Source organism: Homo sapiens, chromosome 2 (genome assembly GCF_000001405.40).
Source record: "Homo sapiens chromosome 2, GRCh38.p14 Primary Assembly".
In the NCBI taxonomy this organism is placed as follows: domain Eukaryota; kingdom Metazoa; phylum Chordata; class Mammalia; order Primates; family Hominidae; genus Homo; species Homo sapiens.
In genome coordinates this window covers 185,740,628-185,765,729 of record NC_000002.12, presented here as the reverse complement: position 1 = coordinate 185,765,729, position 25,102 = coordinate 185,740,628, and the positions used below count along the sequence as shown (strand labels likewise).

Below are 25,102 nucleotides of genomic sequence, written 5' to 3'. Positions count from 1 at the left end.
AGGTAATTTATAGATTCAATGCCATCCCCATCAAGCTACCGATGACTTTCTTCACAGAATTGGAAAAAACTACTTTAAAGTTCATATGGAACCAAAAAAGAGCCCGCATCACCAATTCAATCCTAAGCCAAAAGAACAAAGCTGGAGGCATCACACTACCTGACTTCAAACTATACTACAAGGCTACAGTAACCAAAACAGCATGGTACTGGTACCAAAACAAAGATATAGATCAATGGAACAGAACAGAGCCCTCAGAAATAACGCCGCATATCTACAACTATCTGATCTTTGACAAACCTGAGAAAAACAAGCAATGGGGAAAGGATTCCCTATTTAATAAATGGTGCTGGGAAAACTGGCTAGCCATATGTAGAAAGAGAGTAGCTCTTAAGTGTTCTTCTGCCACCACACACAAATAGTAACTACATGAAGTGAGGATATGTTAATTGGCTTGCTTGTGGTGAACACTTTACTGTATATACACATATCAAGTTGTATATGATTCTCCTTGTCTTATGATGGTGTTACATCTTGATTAGCCAATTGTAAGTCAAAAATATTGTAAGCTGAGAATGCATTTAATACCCCAATAAACCGACAGTAAAGTTGAAAAACCCTAAATTGAATCATTACAAGTTGGGGACCATCTGTACCGTCAATATATACAGTTTTAAATTATCCACTATACCTTAATAAAGTTGTGGTGTGGGAGAGAAGCTGCTGTAAAAGCAGAAAACAGTAAGTATAAGGATATGAGTACAAAAACTTTAATTTTTTTGCAAATTTTGGTTGTCAACATTAGTACAAACAATAAAAATAACAAAAAGAAAATAGGAAATTCCTTCTGATCCTTCATGTCTCAACGCAGTCTCTTTCTAAATTATAAAGGCTTCTATGATGACCCTAGATAGGTCTATGCATTCTCTTTCCCATAACTTTCCCAGCTTTTACACATACCCACTTCCTTTATTGCTCTTATCATATTGGGCCATGACTATCTTTCCAAGTATACTGTAAGAACCCTGAGCAAAAATTGTGCCATTTTTCCTTGAATGATTAAAACTTAGCACCATATCTAACATGAAGCAAAAACTCAGTAAATGTCAGTTGAAAGAATAAATAGAATGCAAGATTTACTCAATAATTACTGCTGATATTTACCTGATTCGCAGAGATAGCTTGATCTCTTGGTTGGTCTTCCATCCCAATCAGCATTTGTCTCCTTCTACATAATTCACAACAGCAAAACAAATAGATCCACAAAAAAAAATTTTAGGACTCAAACATCAACTATTATTTCTATATTTATAGTACAGAAATTTAAGATTTTGAGAATTTCTCTTTAATGTCAATTTATAAGAAATGCACGTTTTTATTATGTTTATATTACAGGTATTATTTATAGAATTCAAAGTTCATAGTTGTATCAAAAGTTGTACTTAAAACCACCTACACATTTGGTAATTTGCTGAGACTTTGGGATTTAGCATATAGTTGTACTTTCATCTAACACATCTAAGATTTAATATGGATGGCAATCTAAGATTTAATATGGATGGCAATGCTGATAGTGCACACATTACCCTAAAAAGGTCAGTAATAAAATTTAGACACTGTTTTTAAAGGAATTTTTTTTAAGTTAAGGGCATAGCCTTTATAATATTTTGGCCAATATGACACCCAATGTCAAAGCTGTTAAAAAATTTTTTTTTATTCTTAGCATATTTAATGTGGCTATTGATATGGTAGAACAGTGAACTAAACCTGATGTACATTTGTCAAATGTTTATTATAAAACTGCACTACAGAAAATCGCATTGTGGTAAACATACTACATTTTAGGAGTTATACATAATTTAGTGTCTCAATTATTATGCATTCTAGGACATGGAAAATGATGCCACTTTCTACTCTAGTTATGAAGAATTCTTTTGGAAATAATTTAGTACATTTCTAGTTTATTGAAATCTATTTCAAACCACATTAACTCCCTAGGGCAGTTGAGCTAGTTAATACTATACTAATGATGAAACCAAAGATACATGTTTGATTCCTGTAACAAGTTGGCAACCCACAGAAAAAAATCTATTTCATGTCCAAAAGCTATACCCTGAATCTTTGCTGGTATCTCTCGAACAGCAGGTAACTGATCACTGGTCAAAAAGTACTAAATCATTACTGTACAAGCCCAGTCAAAGAAGTCCAACTTTATACTTCCTCTAAAAGTTGTAGATACGTACCATGAACTAACATCTTGTAGCTTACATTTAAGCAGACTGTTCAAGGGCTATTAAAACGTTATTATTGTATGACTAATTTCAGGGAATAAAGTTGTTTTGTATGGTTACATAAATCATGACATTTTATACCAATTATGACCATAAGATCATATCCCTTTTATTGTGTTTGTATTTGGGGTAAAAGAACTGTTATATACCTCTTCTTTTGAAGGATCCAAAAATGCCTGTGAAACTCTGGAAAAATTTCTCGTGGGTGATACCTGCGCTGAAATAATTGAACCTTGGCCTGAAATATTTATACCTCCTAGAGAAAGAAGAGATAACTTTAAATATGAGAAGCTGATATTGCTGGGACAAGGGTTAATATTAATTTACAGCATTACTCCAACATTCTCCCTGCTCAGCTGCCACAGTGACTAGAATTGCCACAATCAGGGATTTATTTGAGTCAAGGAAATATCTCCAAAAATAACACGTCTTTTTTGATGTTTACTGCCTACAAATTTCCAGTGGTTCCCATTGCCTTCAAAGACAAGCCTGAAATCCTTATTTAATGTTTTATGCCAGCTTAATCTTCTGCTATAACCACAGCCTACCGCTAGAATTAACTTTTTGCATTTGAGTAATTAGGCAATGAAAAATCATCTGGATAGTGAAATAAACAAAGCTGTGATTTAGGAAGATTGTTTCATAGAAAAATGTATAGTGGGTTAAAAAGAGGAAGATGAAATTGGAGGAAGATTACTGCAATAGTGAAGAATGGAGAAAACAAGGGTAGGAGCAAAGGGAATGGAAAAAAGTGAAGATCAAAATAAATTAAGGAAGTAGAATAGGCAGAAAATGTGAACTTTTAGATACAAAATATAAAAGGAAGAGTCCAAGGCAACTTAGGTTTTGTGCCTGGGTGAAATAAAAGGGTCAGGAAGATGATGATGAATTGAGTTTTGTATTAAATTTGAGGTGATCCTTAGCAACTGGAGGAAGATGTCTCATGTTTTCTGTATGCATATGTCAGATATGTATGTGAGTATTTTTAGTGACTTGCATAAACATAACAAGGCACACAGATATTGGGTAATGAATATTTCATTTAAAGACAAATGGGAAACAAAATGTATCATTTGTTGGAAATTAATGGCAGTGAAATATGGAAACAATCTTGGGGATAGTTCTTTGTATTCCAATCTCCTGAAGCCACTATGCCAGCGTCTTTATCTGTAACTACAAACAGCTACAGCAAGGACCCTATCTTTTCCACACTTTGCAAATTCCAAAAGGCACACTCATCCAGCAATCACTCAAATATATGGGCTAATTATAATATCTATATTCATAAAAAATTTATATCAGCCTTAATTTTTTAGAATAAGCATATTTTTATAATCAGATAAAACAACTTAAAATATATAATAAAACTATAATTGCATGCCTAATAACAGAAAAATTATGACTATTGTTTATTTTCTTACCTCTATCATCGAAAATACTTGAGTTTTTAGATACCATCCCATCTCTCTACATGGTACCACATTGAAGAGAAAAAATTACATTAGTAACTGTACTTCCAAAAAAGATTCTGCCTTCTATCAATTAACCAATGAATACAGATGTTTTCCCTCTTTTAACCAGTAACTCATAAAAACTGTTTAGGTAAAATACATATCATCAACCTCCTAGGATACCTTTCATATAATCTCAAGTTTAACTAGTCCAAAACTGAGTTCAATATGTAGCAATGTATAAACTTACTTCTTCTCCAGTCTTCCTACTTTGCCTAAAGGCATGGTAATACATGCTGTGGTTGGTTCTAAAAAGTTTAGATTCATTCAGTTTGTCTCAGAGAAATCCAATGTAATCCATTCATACCCAGTCCAAACCAGTGTAATGCTTATTAAAAACACTGTTTAGAACCAAAGTAAAATTCATCATTCCAGGATAATTTTATTGGAATAGTATCTTTCTGTGTCTGCTGCCTCACTAGACAATGAGTCTTTTAGAGGAGCAATTATGTCTTATTCTTTTTATCTTATATTACCCAATTTCTTATATTTAATTTATCTTATATTACCCAATTATTGTTTTCCTTCATTCTAGCTTAGTACAACACCTAGTCAATAGTATATGCTCAATAAATGCAAGCTGTCATTATTATTATTACTGCCAAATGTTTGTTTGGGTTATTTTCTGCTAAAATCCGTAGTGTGTTTAGCACAAAGCTAACTTAACACTTTTTCTGCCAGGAAAATGGATCATGTTTCATGAATAAAACTCAGTATCCCTAAACAATCAGTACTATGCTGCTGAAGGAGAGAGTTCATAGAAATAAAAGTTAAGTAGATAAATTAATAAATACAACACAAAACTTTAAAGCATAATTGTATACCTTTTGATTTATACCATTATCCTGTACATCTGCCTGATAAACAACAGAAGCTGAGTTTTTTTTCGTAAAATTATTTGAACTATTTTGACGCTGATGAGCAGCATTTGCTGTATGTCCTAAAAGAAAACGAGAGAGAAACTCTATAGTTTTTTTTTTTTTTAACAGCTTTAGGAAAGTACAATCAAAGTACAATAAATTGTATCTATTTAATTATTTAATTGACTTGGAAATATGTATCCAACTGTGAAACCATCACTGCATTCAAGATAACATGTCTATTATCCCTAGAAGTTTTCTAATGCAACTTTGTGATTTATCCATCTCTCTGTTCTCATACTCCAACAACACTGATCTATACCACTAACTCAAGATTAGTTTGCGCTTTCTAGAATTTCATATTTCCCTGGCTTCTTTCACTCAGGACAACGTTGTTGCATGTATCAATGGTATTGCTTTTCTTTTTCATTTCTGAGAAGAATTCTATTGTATGGCTATGCTATAATTTTTTATCCACTTACCTGTTGATGGACATTTGGATTGTTTCCAGTTTTTATAAATAAATATTTATTTAGTTTACTTGTTTATATTATTTTATTATAATAAATATAAATTTTATTTTATTATAAATAAAATTTATAAATAATAAATTTCTTTGAACTTTCATGTACAGGTCATGTGTGAACACATTTTTTTTTCATTTTTACTGGGTAAATACCTAGTAGCTGAGTGACTGGTCACATGGTAAATATAGGTTTAACTTAAATAAAAAGCCAAACCAGTTTTTCAATGTCGTTGTACCATTTTACATATCAATCAGCAGTGCATCAGAGTTTCAGTTCTTTCACATCCTTGCCAACACTTAGCAGAAAAATAAATATCAAAGTAAAATTTTTTAAAAACATAAAAAGAGAGAGAAAGAATGAAATAAAAAACTGGCTAATTAAGATATTTAGTAAGTAATAAGCCAAAAACAAATAAAGCCACAAATCAGCAAAATAGAATTTACAGATAATTAATAAATGAAATAATAAAGAAATACATGAAAAATGTATGCCAATAAATTTGAAAATAGATACAAGGAACAAATTCTCTGAAAAATCCAAATGATCATGTCTCATCACAAATAAATAGATAATATGAAGAGCCCTGTAGCAAAGAAATTGAATATGAGGTTTAAACCTTTCCACAAAAAAGCTCTAGACTCAAGTGACCTCACCTCTGAATTGTGCTAAATATTTAAGCAAGAAATTATGCTAATTTTACACAAACTCTTCCAGGAAATTGAAGAAGAGTGAACATTTTCTATCTCATACACTGACATCAGAATCACTTTTATACAAAATATACAAGGCATTATAATAAATTAAAAATTCGTTCAATTCCCCCATGAGCAAACATGCAAGAATTATAAACAAAACAAATAATAAATATTATGTATAATATATAATATATATAATATATAACAATATTATTAATATTATACTGACCATTATATTAATAATATAGTAATCATAATTATATCATAAATATAGTAAATTATAATTTTAATACTTATTTATAATTATAAAAAAGTTAATTATCTTATATATTATATACTGTAAATAATATAATATAAATATATGTGAATATATATTTCTGTATAATATAATTTTAATAAATATAAGTATATTAAAATATGTTAATAATATATATTATAATATGTAATAAAAATTATGCATTATGAATAAGTAGAGTTTATCCAAGGAATGAAGAAAATCAAAAGTAATTTGATTCATTCAAAAATCAAAGTAATTTATAATATTAACAGAAAAAAGGAGCAGATTCGTGTGATTATGTCAAAGTCACAGAAAAAGTATGATACAATTCAACACCCATTAATGATACAACTTCTTAGTGAACTAAGAAAAAAGGGGATGTCTTTTTCTAACAAAGGCTATATTTAAATATCTAGAGCTGATATCCTAATTCATATGTATCACTTTCCCTTATGTTTTGGAACAATATTAAGATGTACACAATCACCACTGCTGTTCAACATTGTACTGGAGGTCCTAGACAGAGAGAAATAAATGAAAAGTGAATCCCAACAAAATTGCAGCAAGCTATTTTGTAAAAATTGGCAAGTTGTTTTTAAAATTTGTATAGAAATGCAAAGGCTCTAGAATAACCAAGTCAACCTAGTATAACAACTAACATTGGATAACTCAAACCGCCAAATTTCAAAACTTATTATAAAGCCACAAAAATGAAGAAAATTGAGGTATTTGCATAAAGACAGATAAATACATCAATAGAATGGAAGAGAATGTTTAGAAATAGGCCCAGCTATCGATGATCACTTTATATTTTCAAAGTTGCCAAAGCAACTAGATTTGTACAAGATAAGCTAGGATCTTCCTGTCTTCCCAGGTAGCAAGGAAGATATCAAAGACCACTAGGGTTAAGCCAAAAATACCTCTAGAGCTATAACAAAGGTGCTTCCACTGGCCAGAGGTGTTACAACATGAAGACAATGAGGATGAAGACCTTAACGATGATCCATTTTCACTTAATAGTAAATACATTACATTTTCTCTTCCTATGACTTTTTCAATTTAATAACATTTTCTTTTCTATAGTTTACTTTATTGTAAGATTATAGTATATAATACATATAACATACATAATATGTGTTACTCGACATTTTATGTTTTCAGTAAGGTCAATGGTGGGCTGTTAGTAAGTTTCTGGGGAGCCAAAAGTTAAATGTAGTTTTTTTTTACTGTGCAAGGGGTCCGTACTTCAACTATCACCCCTTGATGTTCAAACATCAACTGTACTTCTAGTCATTCAATACATAATCACCCGAACATGGAAACAACCCAAAATTTCAAATTTCTTTTGATTGAAGAATGAAAAAACAAACTGGTGCATCCATACAATGGAAAGGAACAAACTATTGACACATGCTGTAACTTGGATGAATTTCAGGGTATTATGCTGAGTAAAAGAAGCCATTTTTATAAAGTTACATAATGTATGATTCCATTTATATGACACTCTCCAACAGAAAATGAACTATAGTTATGAGAACATATTACTATTTGATAATAATCCCAGAGGTAACATAACTAATAATCCCAGAGGTAATCTGGGATTATTAGTTGGAGGAAGGAGGGTGTGACTGCAAATAAACAGCATGAGGGAGATTTCTGGAATGCTGGACTGTTCTACATATGATTGTGATATTGGTTACACAAATCTATACATCTGTTTATACATGTAATTGTACAAAATGTTCCATTTTGCTTTAGGGTAATCTAAAAACCAAAATAAATGCCTTGAGATCTTTTCTGGGAATGAAAAAATACAAAGACAAGCTAAGAAGCTGGAGCAGGAAATTGACTTCAAACTCTGCTTGGAGAATCACCAGCTGCAAAACTGTATGGGGCAAATTTCTCATAAGAGTATAGAGGATGTGACACTGTACAGAGTTCACACTCATGACTCAATGATGAAATGGAAACCAGGAAGACCTGATTATGGTGAGTGGGAAAGAGGAGCACCTCTAAAAACATATGATGACTTGTGATGTCACTACTGTGTATTTTTAAAATTCACAAAAAGCCTACAATGACTCACATACCCTTCACTGAAACAAGAGAGTAGATACACATAACCCCCTCCACCCAATTCTGATATGAATCACATTACTTTACATTTCATCTTTCAATAGGATATTTCTCCCAACCATGTTTAATTAAATTTACAGGTCTGTTCTCCAGACAATTGTCACGATAAACTGGTATTGCAGTGAGGCTAAAAACAATATTTTCCATTGACCATCCTTTCCTGAAATGTCACTGAGGTTCTTTGACAACAGTAAGATCAGCCTGGGATGCATTAAACACCAGATTTTTACAGGATCAGTTTGCTTGAGATAACTGCTTTAGAAATTGATAACTTAGTTTTATTGTCTACATTTAGTATAAGATGTAGAGCTGGTATTGCCATAAATTTGCCAGTTGTAAATAATCCTTTGGTATGTTGTAAAAGCTGAACTTTAAAAATGGGACCCATGAATTCTGGAGTTAAATTAACTGAACCTCAGTGATTCTGAGGCAGAAAGACATCCTAGGCTAAGGCAACCCTATCTCTTCCAACATTTCAGACTCTTGATGAAAACTAAGCAAATTGCATACTCGGGAAGAAAAGATTTTAAACAGTATTTCTTTTATTTTTTAACCAATAAGGCCAAGAAATTTAACATTTATATGTTAATTTTTTCTTTGAAATTTAATAATGGGAGATTAGTTATACTGTTCAGTTTTTGAACAGTCATACTCTGGTAATATTTTTTGGAGGATTTTTATATTGTAATTTGGGCTTATAATCTTTCAATGAGCTCTAATGAACAACATGAAGTGACATAACATAAGTTAAAAGATAATAAAGTGATGTTACATTAAAGGCCACAGTGAATCTGGAGTAAATATACTTAATTTCTGACATATTTCAGAGTTTTCTGAGATTATTTTGAGCAAAAATATTTTCTGCAAGTTGGTAGGCATGCTGTATTATATATTTAATAGTAACATAACCTTCATTTAATTTTCTAAAATAATAATATAATGTCAGGTTCAAAACAGTAAATCAATTATCTGGTTATCAAATTCTAAAAGCAATAAAGGCCACATAGCTCTTGATAAGCGTCACTCAAAATCAGTTATTTGATAAAAAGAAAACAGGATTTGTCTGCACTTAAGTGAAAAAAGTTGTTACAAAACTGTCTTTCCCCCAAATTATTGTTTAGTATCTAGTGTTTCTTGTCACAATATTCAATTACCATGTGTTTCTTTATATGTATTCTGGTCTCCAGCAGGATAAACTAACATTATATCTTCAGAAGTCTTCTTTTTATTCTTTGGAGAAGCTTAAAGAAATATAATAAAACATTTATTTTTACTTATGATGATGACAGAATTACCCAAGATAGACTACTTATCCTTTTATGCCCAAGAGGAGCTGAACTATATGCTAATCTGTATGTGGGATTGCGAGAAAAATTGGAGAAGATACAGTGATGTGAAATGGGAGAAAAGACAATTCTTGAAATATTATCCCTTAATATTAAAAGATACATTTGGAGGGATAGAATGTTTTTCTAGCAGAAAAGGAAATCTGCACCTGGCTCAACTGAAACATGTCATTTTCCATCTGGGTGCATAACAACATAGTGGCTGGGCTGAAGACTCAGCAGTCCACAGTGACTGCTGTAATTCTTGGATATGCCTTGCTGCCTGGCATAAGCAAATGCACATATATATTCCCTTCTTTGTAATAAATGTAATTGTAGTTTTGCTTTTCTAACTATTAAGGTGGCAAAAGGTCCTCACTGCATGTGTGCTCAAGGGGCTGTTATTAGAGATGTAAACTATAAGAGTGATCTGTTTCCCCATTCACTGATCACTGAGCAGATTCTTCTGATACTTCCTTTCTTTTACTTTCTCTGTCCCACTAGAAGTTGTTTACTTGTTGGAAGATAACAACATTACCATAGTGGTATAATTCAATTTAATTTGTGCCATGGATATTCTTTCTATTCTGACTCTTTGATAATATAAATTAAACTCATTTTCATACTACTTCTTCTTCAACAGTGTATCTAAATAACAAATGTTTAAGCTACAGAAATTATTCCTACTATATGAGAAAGTTAATGAAGATGTAGGAATTTTTATAGTTACTGAAGTGATTTCATATCTGAGGCATGATATTGCTGTCATTGCCTCAATGAACTAAACAGATAGAATTAATCAATTTAGCAAACGTGTACTTAGTGTATATGCTTTGCATGGTGTTCTATTGAATACAAAGGTGGGAGTTTACTATTATAAATGATTAAGACAGCGGGAAGTATGTAATAAGTGAATTAAAAGTGGTGCAAACTACTTGAGAGATTCACAGAAAAGGGACCTTCCAGTTAGGGTTATCAACAATGACTTTTTGGCATGTAATTTACAGTGGGGCTTAAAGAACTGTAGGATTTTGATAAATGGAGACGGTAATCAGGTCATTCTAAATTGAGAAAAATTGGATACAGAGAGGCAGAGAAGTCGGAAAGGTAACATGTGTTTTAGGAATGATCAGTAGTCTAATTTAACTAAACAACAAAATAAATTAAGTTCTTACTATATGCTAGAATTTTTACACTCTTTATAGGAATTATCTAGGAGTATTATCTTCATTTGCAGATAACGAAACTGGCTTAGGGAGGTTAAATAATTTGCCCAAGCCATAACATCGCTAGAAAATGATGAAACAGGATTGGACTTCCACAGTCCAATTCCAGAGCCTGTGCATATCACCACTAGATCATAGCTGCCATCTTCAAGGATGTAGTGTAAAATAAAGTTGAAAAGTTAGGTGAAGACTGAACTCTAGATGCTGATAAATGCTTGCTGAAGCAGTCTGAGCTTCATTTAATAGGTAATAGCTTTAAGGGTGGAGGAAGAAACCATGAGAACAGAGTTTTAAATGTAGCAAGCGACAGTACAAAATGGATTTGAGGCAGGTAAAAAGAAGACTCAACAGAGGCTAGTTGGTAATCTACTGGAGTGACACAGGAAAGCTCTGACCTAGAAATGGGATTGATGAGATACTATGACAATAGCTGCATGGAAAATAATCAGTTTCTTTCCTGGTACTACACAGTCAAAGATAGTTAAAACAAGTCTACATTTTTGCATTCTGGCCATGAAATTTTATCTAATATCGAAGCGAAAAACCCATTGTAATTTTATAATGTTATAAATAAAGGAAGCTGGTAGAGGCCGGGCATAACAAAGCCATTCCTCCTTTGAAACTTTCTTCATTTTTTCTTTCTTCATTTATTTCTTCCTTCTTTTTTTTCCTAATTCTGTACTACCTCCCTTTCTTACTGGTTGTCAACATAATAGAACACCATGTTGGTATATAATAGTGGTTATCCTAGATACAAGTTTGTATCATTTTAGTAATTACTTTAAATATAGGGAGGTTGGTTACAAATGCAGTACAGGCAAGACTGTCTCCTGAGCCAATTGATGAGATTGTTATAATTTGTTATCATTGTTACATATATGCCTACTTTTCAACTTGAACTATACTACAGAAATGCCTAGAACAATGTCTGGCACAAAGGGAGAAACAAGTGTAAATACACAGAGTATTACACAAGGATTTTTACATAGATAATCATTTTCTACTTAGCTACATCATCTTTTAATGTTCTCACATTCACCATGTGTTCCATCTTGACCTCTGTATTTAAATGTATTTTTTCCTATATCTTCTCCGTTAAAGCCAGTATCTTGCATTTTTTGTAAATGATAAGCCATTTTTTTCTCTAGAAGATCTTGTTTCTACAATATTAAAGAAAATATATTGGTTAATATTAACTTGCCATTTAGAAATGTAAAACAAATCATTTAAAATGTGACAATATTTTGAAAATGGATAATCAGTCCTGTCTTGATTTGTAATGGTACAAAAATAAGAGAGTAGTAAGGGGCAAATTTCCATTTGTGATCAAACACAAAGAATATATTTAACATGTATGCAATTTACCTCTCTACATACCATCAGAGAACTAATTCAGTTTCTGATCAGACAGGGTATCTTATTCATACCTGTCCTGGTGAGTTTAAGTAATTTCTTAATCATCTTCAATTGGAAGATTCCTGAGGGCTTAACCAAATATCACTCAGGTCTACCAGAGGTAAACATAATATAGTACATAAAATGTGACTTCCCTTTGTGAATTTCTGGGCTAGTATTGAATGCACTAGAAACAAGATAAATCCATACAGAATGAACCCCAGAGATTCTTAGAGGGTTCTTGCAGTATTTAGCAAGAAAATGGATTAGCATATGTAAAAAAAACTACCCAAGACTACAGTAAAGATCTTCCTAAAGGACTGGAGAAAACAGTCACTGCAACCTATCTAGGGATAGAAAACATGCCTATTCCCCCTAGAAATATTTCACTGGAAAAACCTCATGAGTCATAGGGCATTGAGTAGAGTACTAAGATGGATCTTAACTCAGTAGTAGGAAACAACTAGCCCCAGATAAAATATGGCTCTCACCCCACCAGCAAATCATAAAAGGCAAGACCTGTACAATCAAATTGTTTCCAAATAAATTATCTACATCAAAAAAGCTAAATAATATTTATAAGAAGATAAAAATATTCAGTATACAAAGTAAAATTCATGTCTGGCATCCAATCAAAGAATACTAGGCATGTAAAGAAGCAGGGGAATATGACTTATAAAAGAAGTAGATCTATCAACTGAAATGGACTCAAAAATGACACAAATGTTGGAATTAAAGACAAGAAACAATACAGCAACATAAGATTGCAATTTGTATATAAACAAAGTGAAGAAGAGATATGGGAGACATAACAAGGTCCAAAAGCAATTTTCAAATATGTGAGATGAGCAATACCATGGATGTATTAATGGCACATCCATTAATAGAGAAGTGAATAAATGAAAAGATTTCAGTGAGATATGGGACAACTTCAAGCAGCCTAATATGCCTGAAGAGAGGAGAGAAAAGATAAAATAAATATTAGATAATAATATCCTAAAATGTTTCAAATTTGATGAAAACCGTAAACCCACAGGTCCAAGAAGCCCAAAACACCAATGCGTAGAAAACAAGAAAAATTTCACCAAGTCATAATAATCAAATTTCTCAAAACTAGGGATAAAAAGAAAAATTTTAAAGTTTCCAGAAAAACAAATCATGTTACATAGAGAAAAATAAAGTTTAAAGACAGTAGAATTCTTCTTGGAATCAATGTAGAGAAGAAAGTTAAACAGCATCTTTAAAGTACTAAAATAAAGAAAAAAAAAAGTCAATGGTGAATTCTACACCCAGTTGATGTTAACCAACATATACTCAAAAAAAAGTTTTCAAAAATAAAGTATAAGTCTTTTGCAGACATACAAAAGTAAGTTGTACTAGGAGCAATGTTAAAGAAAGCCCTTCAGACAGAAAAAAAAATGATAGCAGATGAAAATATGGGTATACAAAAAAAGAATGAAGAGCATAAAAAATTTTAAGTATCTGGCCAAATATATGACTTATTTACATCAGGATAAAAGATAAATGATAGTTTAGACAAACTTAGCAATGTATTGTGGGAATTATTACGTGTATGTATATAAATAAAATGAATGACCAAAATAGCATAAAGGCCAAAGGGAAAAAAATAAAGCATAATACTGTAAAGCTCTTATACTATATGTGAAATGGTATAATACAGTATAATAACACTTTAAGAGCTACCCTAATAAATTAAAGACATATACTGTAATCCTTAAAGCAACTGGTAAATTTCAAACAAAGAAGCAATATACAAAATAGATACAAAGGGATCATTAAAAATCAAAAGAAAAAGGCAGAAAATGAAGAAAAGAACATAGATGAGACAAATAAAAAAATAATGAGATGACACACATAAAACTAATCATGTTAATAATCGCACTAAATGTAAATGCTACAAACACCTCAATTACAGGCGGTTGTCAGATTTGATATGAAACCAAAGCCCATCTATATGAGTAGTAACCACACACACACACACACACACACACACACACACACACAGAAAAATAAAGACCCAAATTTGGTCTTAAAAGTAAAACACAAGAAAATAATATGCCGTGCTAACAGTAATCAAAGTAAAGCTGAAGTGGCAATGTTAATATTACATGTAATATTAGAGCAAAGAATAATAACAGGAAAATAAAATATTTTCATAACAATAAACAAATCAAATCACCAACAGACATAACAATTCTAGCCATTTTTTACCTAATACTGAGCTTCAAATAAAACAAAAACTGAGATACTAGACAAATCCAAAAATATAGTCAGAGATTTTAATAACTCTTTCTCTCAATAATTGAGAGAACAAGTAGACAGAAATTGAGCTAGGACTTGGATTTGAACAATTCTATCAATGAACTTGATATCTAGAGAACAGTTATAAAATACTTCACCCAACAACAGTAGAAAGAAGTTTTTTTCAGGTGTACATTCGTAATTTACCCAAAATGACCAGAGTTTGGGATGATAAAATAATCTCAATATATTTAAAAAGATTTGGGAAATAAAAGTCTTTTCTCTGACTACAATAAAAGCAAATTTGAAATCAATAACAGAAAGATCTTGGACACACTCCAAATATTTAGAAGCTAAATGACACATTTTTAAGTAACCAATGAATCAAACATAAAATTAAAAGGGAAATTAAAGTATTTTGAATTGAATAAATATAAAACATCGTATATCAAAAAAAATCTGGGGACTCTTGATAGACCAGTGTTAGGGAAAAACTTAGAGTACTAAATTTCTGTATTAGAAAAGAGGAAGGGTCTTGAATTAATGACTTCCACCTAAAAAGAAAAAAGGTATTTAACAAAAAGATCAGAACAGAAATCAACAAAATAGAAAAAAAAAAAACAGAGAAATGCATTAAAACTAAAAACTAGCAGTTGGAGAAAATCAGAAAAAGAGAAATAAGAAGAAAAAGAAAAAGCAACTCTAGCCAGGACTGATAAGGAAAAAAGAAGTTACAAATTACCATATCAGTAAGGAAAGTGGGTGACATCACCAGAGTCTAGAAATACTCAAATGATAACAAAGGAATGTTATAAACAACTTTGTCAATAAATCCCACAAATCAGATGAAATGAAACAATTCCTAGAATACACTATCAAAACTTTTAAAAAGAATGTTTTGAATAGGTATGTAGTTAAGTATCTCCCCACAAAGAAACCTCATACCCAAATGTCTTCACTGATAAATTCCATAAAATATATAAAAAATAAACAATACCAATTCTAAAATAATTTTTTCAAAAATCTGAAGATGGAATACATAGAGATTTATGGTATAAGGCCAGCATTACCCTGATACCAAAATCAGAGAAGGGTAGTGCAAGAAAACTACATTTTGCACTAACATCTCTAGTGCAAAATTCTAAACAAAATGTTGGCAAATTTAATACAACAATATGTAAAATGATAATACAATCAGACCAAGTATATTTGTTTAATGATCTTTTGTTCAGGATTCATTTAACATTCAAAAATCAATTTATGTTATCTACTAAGCAATGAACCACAAAGGAAAACCTACATATGAATTCAATAAAACCACAGAAGAAAATGTTTGACAAAATCTTACATCCATTTCTGATAGAAATGTTCAGCAAACTAGAAATATAAGAAAATTTCCTCATCCCAATGAATGACACCTGTAAAAAAAACCCATACCTAACCCTAAAATTAATGGCGACGACTTAATCCTTTCCCCTTGAGATCACTAGCAAAGAGAGCCACTAACAAACAAATCACCAGTCAAAAATAGCTAGTATGTCTGCTTCTATTCAGCATTATACTGAAGGTTTCAAGCAGTGTGATCAAGAAAGAAAAAAAAATTAAAGGAACTCATCAGAAGAAATAAAACTCCCTTTATTCACAGAAATGATCATCTATGTAAACTATTAATTGGCATCTAGAAAAAAGAACTACTAGAACTGATTATTGATTGTTAACAATGCAAGACACAAGATGAATATAAATAAATCAGATGTTTTTCTAAATGCTAGCATTAAGTATTCAAAGTTTGAAATTTAAGAAATATAAATTACAATAGCATAAAATGTATGAAATACCTAGGGATGAATTTATGAAAAGATATATAAGAACAGTACACTGCAAACTACATAGCACTGTTAAGAGAAATTAAGAAGACCTACATAAATGGAGCGACATATGTGGTTCATGAGTTGAAAAACTCAATATTATAAAGAGGTAAATTGTGCCCAAACTGACCTATAGAGTTAATGCAAATCCAATTAAAAAAACTCAGCAAGACGTTTTGGTAGAAATTAATAAGCTGATGCTATAATTTATATGGAAATACAAAGGGCTTGGGATTAACTAAAACAACTGAAATAGAAAAATGTGTAAGACTGACATGACAGATTCAAAGAATTGTTAAAGGTACAGCAATCAAACAAATAGGTCAAAGAATAGAAGAGAGTCCAAAAATAGATCCATACAAATAATTTTTGACAAAGATATTAAGAGCAAAATCTAAACTATGATAAGACATAATTTGCAGTGAAAAAATATATAATGTCAAATCTGAAAATCATGACATAATAATGTAATGAAACACAAAGGAATTCAAAATTTCTTACAGTAAAACAAGATTCACAAAAGACAATTGTAAAATAACTCCATTGGAAATATCAGTGTTCAAATGGCTCTGCCATTAGCACAGCTTAGGCAGCCTGTGGTGTTATCATGCTTACAGTCAGTGACCACGTCTAATGGGCACTCCTCCCAGGCTGATTTGATCAGTTGCATTAGTCTTCACTAAAACTGACCAACATTCTTTGGGTAGTAATTGACATTAGGCAAAAGGAGAAGAATCTAGTGCATTCAATTGCTTCTGGAAAACAAAGATACTTTCTCTTTTTTTTTGAGATGGAGTCTTGCTCTGCCGCCCAGAGATGTGCAGTTTTAGAGCAAAATGAAGAGGACAACTTGGTGAGACTTCTTATTGAAAAATAGTGAAAAACTGAGTATTAGAAAATATTAATAATAATTATGGCTGGGCGTGGTGGCTGACACCTGTAATCCCAGCCCTTCAGGAGGACAAGGTGGGAGAATCATTTGAGCTCAGGAGTTTGAGACCAGCCTGGGCAACATAGCAAAAACCTGTCTCTACAAAAAATAAATAAATAAATAAAAATAAAGAAGAAAGAAAAACAAAAAAGAAAGAAGAAAAATAATAATCAGGTAAATTGGAATAAGCTGAGCCTGCAAAATGAGCAGTGAGTCTCTGATGGTACTGAAAGGTACAGGTAACAAACAGAATGAAAGAGAAGCATACATATTTAAACTTTCAATATTTTTACAAAATTGCTATGTAACAGTATATGTCAATACAAACCAAATTGTGTAAATCTTACATTCATACCTAGGTTTGTTAACAATAACCTACCTAAAATTGCCATTTAGAATTTTAGATCAACATTTATCAACATGCTAAGTTGACAATGGCATTTTATTACATGAAAAAAACAGCCTACAGAACAGCTTGCAATGCTTGTTTTTAATTATTAATTGGAAAAAATAAATATTATTGGAAACATTGTTGGGGGGTGTATGTGTATATGTGAGAACTAAAAAGTTGATAGGGTGGTGGTGGTAGGATTTTTCTCTTTCTTTTTATTGATTTACACTCTAAATCACAAAATCTTATATATTATTAAAGATAAAAAGTTAAGCTAAATAAAATTAACTGGTGAGGAAAAATTGAGAAATCTGACAAAGAACTGCTAGTTCTAAAAAAAGTTAATCAGTCATTTAATTTTTTCATAGTAATTACAAGTATGGTTTATGGTGTAAAAATAAAGCCAAAAATAGTTATATCACATAATAGAGCAGTACTTTTTATATGATAGTCAAAAATACTAAAAATGTCCATAACTTGCAGTTTTATATCATGCATATCATTTGGAGTAACTGGGCAACAGTCATCTCACAAAGTGATTTGTACTTCAAAAAACCAAAACAAAATCTTCTCTTCGAACAGCTCAAGTTAGAGGTTAAAGCTCACCCTACCTTCCTGTCACTCTCTTCTCTGTTTCTATGCTGTTGTTCTTCTATCCTCTCTTCTCTTTTAACATCTTCTGCCATCCTTGTCAGAAGTAACATCTCTTTTGTCTTCCATTCCTAGAAATCACAATGTTACTGCACTTGGTGTGTGTGCCTTTCACAACAATATCTTTGTATTTTGTCCCACCAAAAAGTATATTAAACAAGTCAGGGCCTAACAGAAATCAGGTTAAGCATAATGAAAGGCATACGTTCGGTTTAGAATATACTTTTCTTACTACACTCTTATTAGGAATGCAAATATGATACTTTTTACTAAAGCTAAATTTCAAAAAAATTTTGTCTCCACAATAAGGGCATTAAGAGAGTTAAATAGTGTCTAGTTAACTTTCTAACTGTTCTTTAAGAGCAGAAATTGGCTTATATACGTACTTTGTGGTATCCACCTCATTATTTTATGTAACAACTTGTATATTATAGCTATGAAGAAAATTTAATGGTAACAAATTATTTTGAACTGAAATGACTTCAAGCAGCACAATGTACAGTTAAAATTATTTACAAATGCAACAACTGTACACAATTTTTCTGTTAATATTTTAAAGTTGTTGTCTCTCACCTCTTCTATTTTTCTACGAAGAGTAAGTTTTCTTCTTGTGTGTTCCCGCTGTCGTCTTTCTTCTCTATCCATTAGGAATAGGCGTTGTTCTTCTGCTGTGCGTTCAAGTTGTTCTAGTTTTCTACTTATCATATCCAAATATCTGAGTAAGAGTGCAAATATTGCTAAAGGTGAATTGGCTGTTTCTTTTATGATGGCATCATCTGCTATGCCATTCCCAAACCACTTCCTTGCTTGCCTTTCATTTCTTGAACTACAAGAATTTTACTGTTTTTCTGTCAGTCCTGTTTATAAACCTTTAAAACAGCCTAACCCACCAGCTCACCATGTTTTACTTATTATAAGGTCTCTCCACTACACAAGTATCTGATATAATGGCAAAGATAATGGTAAAAAGCAGAGCAAAGTTACTCAAAACATTTTGCACAGTAAGCATTCATAACTCAGTAGGTTTAAGAATATGACCTTGCAAAAAAGGCTGAAATAACTGAAACAGTAACTTCAAATGTGGAAAAAAAAAAACAGTCCATTTGAATTCTCTAAGAAAAACTGGGCACTGGGTTCCTTGTAATTTACAAGTCCTTGAACAAATCTCTCATCTGTAGTCTGGATCTCTGGTACATCAATATGTATTATGGCAATAATACCATATAATGAAACCATGGAATGAATATAAAAGTCAGGTAATAAAAGTCAGCCCAATTCCTTACTGCATCCCTAGTGAAGGAAAAAGAACTATAACATCCTTTACTTCCTAAGAAATGGGCTTGTCCATGGAATGGCCATGATTGAATATGACTGAGTCATATTTAAATGAGCTTACAATCTTTTTTATAGACAGCACATATTTATATATTGGCATCAGTTATTCCAAACTTACTTTTTTTGACTTTGCACTAACTTCCTCAAAAAATGCTGTCAGTTCTTAAAGATGAATCTTAAAAAGCTGTTACTGTTTGAATATATTGTTTGAATATATTGTTTCTATATTCTAATATAGAAAGATTTTGAATCTAATTTTTCTTTCAATAACCAGTTTGGCTTATCCCTTGGGCGTCCAGCAACCCTAACCCCTCTGGTAGAAAATTCTTCCACCTCTTGGTTTCACTTCCTTCCTCTACACTCTGAGGGATCCAGGAGAATGGTGTCCAGTACTTAAATTGTCTTCAATTCTTTCTAGTATTTTCCAGCTTATTTGGGTCCACAACATACCCATAAAATATGCCTCAACTTTAATCTTACCTATGCCTCATCAGCCGCTCCTGGTCCTTAATAGATTCAGTGCCCTCCTTTAACAACCAGTTTTGGACTTGTGCAACATCACAATGTTGAGGGATTTGATTGTTTTCCGGTATGTTATGTAGTTGTTTTGCAAGTATTCTCTATTTAAGAAATGTGTGTATTACATATATATAATGCTTTTTACATTTCCCAGAAATAAAACCATTTAAATTTATATATTTTATAAATGCTTAATTCTGTTTAATTGCATTTACATCTATTTTGAATCCATTAAAGACACAGACAAGTAAACCAAAATTAAGATTTATCTCTGAAAATAAAAGGTAAACATTTCAGTTTATTTGTCTACCTATTCTAAATAAGTTAAATAAAAATATGCAGGAAGTAGAGAAGAAACACTGGGCACAGAATGAAGTGGGGAAAATACAGAATACTTAGAAATATATTAAAGTCTTTCTTGTTTGTATTTAACCCTTTTATTGTTAGGACATACATTTGCAAACACTCATGTAAATATACCTTTCTCACTTTGATCCAAACCTCTTGACCCTAAAATCTGAATTCACACAAACACACACACACACACACACCCCACACACACACACCTTTAAGTCAAAAATCAAAAGGAAGTCACTATCCATAACCATTCACTCTACACCCAATCATTCTACTTCACATTCAAGAACAACATTTTGTTCACATTCAAGAACAACATTTTTACAGGTGCACGTGTATGAGTACAAACACAGAGTGTACATATTCTTGAATCACTGTAGAACACTACAGATAATTATTGTTCTTTTCCTATGGCTCAAACTGTTTTAGGTTTCAATTTAAGAATCTTTCTGCCACAAGAGATGTTTGTTATTGGCATTAGCTCAGGGGGAAACAACACATCTGACTAGCAATTTAGTTATTGAATTATGCCAGCTACCACTGGTGTGTTGATAGATAACCCAGTCCCTTTCCCATTCTTGGCCAACTATAGCAAAATTAAAATATTGTTTATTCCTACTGTAAATTTTCACTTGGAAAAAATATTCAATTACTTTGTCAATAATAAAGGATCAAAATATTATTAGAAGAACACTCTACATATAATCAAGCATTTCTTCCAAACTCTATGTAAATAAACCAAATTTAAGTATTTAACTTACTTGTTCTTTTATATAGTTTCTCTCAAAGTCTAATTTTAAACTGGTAAGATATTGCCTGTACTTATTCAATTCTCTCAAGGTACATACAACCTACAAACAAAAATGAAAACAGATGGATATTTTAAAAATGTTTGATATGTTAATATTATATAAATATTTTAAATATATTTTTAAATCATTAAATTGATTTAAAAATAAAAAATAGCAGTGACATAAAATTTGATGACATTTTGGCATAAAGAGTAATAAACTGCTAACAATCTTGTAAGTAATATCTCTCTGCATTTGTTAATCAGCAATAAATTTCTATCCAAAAACATTACTTAGGCTGAGGCAGGAGGATCTCTTGAGGCCAGGAGTTTGAGATGAGCCTGGGCAACATAGCAAGACCCCATCTCTAAAAAAAAAAAATTAACCAGCTGGGAGGCATGTGCCTGTAGTCCCAGCTACTCAGGATGCTGATGCAGGAACACAGCTTTAGCCCAGGAGGTCCAGGCTGCAGTGAGCCATGATTGCGCCATTGCACTCCTGTGTAGGCAACAAAGTGAGAACCTGTCTCTAAAAAATATATACATATTACTTTATTAATATTACTTATATCATAAAAGGAGTTTAGTGCACACAATTAGTTATCACAGTAATAATTTCAATTAGCTGTAATTGGATTATAATTGTAATAACATTGTTCGACTCCAATAAGAATATACTCTATCAAGGTTCTGACAGATTGAACTTTGCTAAGTTTCTGTTTCATCTCAAGTTTTTAAAAGTATATGGAACATAATTCTTGACAAGTATACAGTGCCATTAAAGACAGAGAAAGAAGGCTATAATACACGTGGGAAAATAATATATCTTTGTATTCTCAAATTATTTGTCAATAATCTTTTTATATTACAAAGAAAAAAGGTGAAGGAAGAAGTACTTTCATTTAGCAACAACTGTTGTCTGATTTCTCTTGATTCAAATACTGAGAAATTTATAGAACTGCCTATTAAGTATTGTCTCATGACCAAGTTAAAAGTGACACAGGCCCCCCGAGTGAGGTACAGAAACAAGTTTATATCAAGTTTTAAAGGGTTTCATTGATTAAAAAAAGAAGTAATTTTCAACCCACTTTATTATTGCTGGTGATGTAGCCACCTTTCTTTAATCTCTTCAAAATATCTTTGCGCTTATAGTATGCTTTTAAATGTGGATCATGGAGGCTTTTATATTGGTTTTCCAAAAGTCGACAATAGGGATCAGTCAGGTTAAAACCATAAGAAGGTCGAAAAAGCTGCAAACACAGATTCAAAAATATGTAAAATTAATGCATTTTCACTTTAAATAATCTATCAAAATGATTAGAATGTTCATTGAAAATAAAATGTGCCAAAAGAATCTGAAATGGGGAAAAACAGCCACAGAAAAATTGGAGTTGGGCATGCTTTCCTGCCTTTCCTTTCCTCTCTCCTCACCTGCATAAATTATCCCAAAGACTCACCTTAACCCAATCAGTTCCTCCTCTAATCCTCTTCAGCCCCTGACTCTCAGCCAAATAAGAAAAGAGAAGAGGAAAAGAAAGGGAATAGCATATAGTTTGTTTTAAGGTACAAAGCCAACGCTAGGATTCTCTCATTTCCTTCTCCCTCTCTCGAATCAAAATATTCTATTCAAAAGATAAAAGGATTAATAGTAATTATGATTATATTTCAATCATCTTAAAATGAACAAAAATAACAAAATGTTTCATCAAAATTTATGAAAATAACTTTAACAAATAGTAGAAGTAAAACTTAGATGTTAACGATTTTGAGTTAAAGAGTCATTGCATCTTGAGGTTTTTAATGCAAGGAACCAACAATCTCTGAGTGCTAGAGTAAGAAGAATACCTGAGGTCTATATTATGCAGTTCACCTTATTAAAGAACCAATTTTAAAGAATATTTATAGAAATTGAAGTTTTTCTATTTGTGTGAAGACCAAATACACCTTTAGGCAACAGCCATTAACATATAAAAGGAGGAAAAGATAATCAGTTTCTAGTCATGTTTCTTATATCTGCTGCATTAGAGAAAACAGCTGAGTTATTCAATCTCACCATGAATTAAAACATTAGCAAAGTGAGTTTTTTGGTGTGAGTTCTCAGTTTTTCAATAGCAAGATGGTGATAATGGCTTATTGGGGGACCTCTGAAATGGAAAAAGTAGAGAATAAGAGTAGGAAGTTGTGTTAAGGCTGTTTTTACATCTCTTCTTTCTGTTTTAAGTTTGCTGGGCCAGAAAAACTAAGTTTTATAATAGCTCAAAATATGTTAAATCAGGCACTGGCTCAGGAGACAGATAATTGGAGTATGTAGGTAATATGGGAAACCAGAGAGCACCTGCCCTATTTGCAGGCATGAAATTCAATTTATACTACCACAACAACACTAAGCACCAATCCCGACATGTCTAGAGGCACCAATTTGGGTCCTCTGTTTCCAGTCTGGCCGTAACCACAGTTGCAGTCCAATTCCTGAACACTATGGAGTCTGGCTGGGTTGGACCCTAATAAGAACTCTCGAAAGGTAGGTAGGAGAATGCTTTGCATATGGGTAAAAGGTAGATGAGAGGAACAAAATAAGATACTAGCTCTTCCTTTGCATTTAAAAGCTTCTTTAAGTTTCTGACCTCTTGTTTAACATTAAACTTTAATTCCTTCCAAGGAGCCTAATCAGAAAGCTAGATTCCCTGGTTACCAATGCTTTCCTGAGAAGGCAAAGAAAGAACTCGTAAAGGGGAGAGTCTTGAATTCAGTGAATCCACATATGAAGCCCAGATCTTTCCTGGAAGGGAAACGATCAATAATAATAAGTCAAGGAGTAGATTGAATATTTCTTTCAGATGTTGACATTTAGCTGTAAACTTTTAAAAAATGTTAACTTTTAGCTGTGACAGGCATATGTTTCTCAAGACCAAACCTGAGCTCCTGACCTGTAAACTAAGAACACTTTTAAACAAATCCACCCATTTGAGCCAGAGTAACTTTTCTATTGACAATTAAAATAACTGGTTGCCCTTAAAAGGTGACTATTAACCATTACCTCATGAAGGAGAGTACACTGAAAGAGAAAATTCTTCTGAGAAATTATATGGTGACTAATTTCATTAAATGAATAAATTTTGGGAGAATTAATGTAATAAAAAATAGAACATCTTTTTGAAAAGTAGTAGACAAGTGAATTAATGGTCGACAGAGAAAATGGCAATAGAGTAAAATAATATATTTAAGGGAGGAGACAAAAGCCACAGTTCTAAGTTTATGCACTAAAGAGGAATTATATCACCTGTAATGGAATAAATTTCAAGCACGTTTTTGCAAAGTTAGTTTGTGTGGATGTGACTCAAGTTGTGTGAAGTTGGTATATTTGTAGTTCACTTGCTCTAATCTAGTAGAACAGATTAGTTTTTTTTAAAGAGCAATTATACTTTTTTTCAGAAACAAAACTTGTTTTAAGAAATCATGTTTATTTAGTGTGTTAGATTGACTGTATGCCCCCAAAATTCATATGCAATCCTAATCTTCAGTGTGATGGCATTAGGAGCTGGGGCCTTGGGGGATAATTAAGTCATGAGGGTGGAGTCCTCATCAAGGGAGATAATGTTCCTATAGAGACCACAGGGAACTCTCCAGCCTTCTTTCTACCATGCAGGGAGGTAATAATGAAAGGACTTCAAAGGACCCCCACGAGAATCTGACCATGCTGGTGTCCTGATCTTGGACTTCCAGCTCCAGAACAATGATAAATAAATTTACGTTAT

General features: G+C 32.0%; 1 protein-coding gene across 6 annotated transcripts in view; it reads right to left on the bottom strand.

The window, feature by feature from the left end:
* Nucleotides 1–25,102, bottom strand: part of FSIP2 (fibrous sheath interacting protein 2) — a 96,157-nt gene that overhangs the window by 67,561 nt on the left and 3,494 nt on the right. For 5 of the 6 annotated variants that reach the window (XM_047444333.1, XM_047444329.1, XM_047444331.1 and 2 more), the window contains exons 3-13: nt 22,436–22,597; nt 21,319–21,408; nt 20,162–20,301; nt 18,920–19,061; nt 18,307–18,417; nt 11,882–12,008; nt 9,452–9,538; nt 4,627–4,742; nt 3,713–3,758; nt 2,441–2,547; nt 1,165–1,228 (exon numbers count right to left, since the gene is read on the bottom strand). In XM_047444333.1, coding sequence (XP_047300289.1) covers nt 1,165–1,228; nt 2,441–2,547; nt 3,713–3,758; nt 4,627–4,742; nt 9,452–9,538; nt 11,882–12,008; nt 18,307–18,417; nt 18,920–19,061; nt 20,162–20,172 — 811 coding nt within the window. In that variant the 5' untranslated portion in view covers nt 20,173–20,301; nt 21,319–21,408; nt 22,436–22,597. The remainder of the gene's footprint in view (nt 1–1,164; nt 1,229–2,440; nt 2,548–3,712; nt 3,759–4,626; nt 4,743–9,451; nt 9,539–11,881; nt 12,009–18,306; nt 18,418–18,919; nt 19,062–20,161; nt 20,302–21,318; nt 21,409–22,435; nt 22,598–25,102) is intronic. The other variant, NM_173651.4, reaches the window with a different exon arrangement.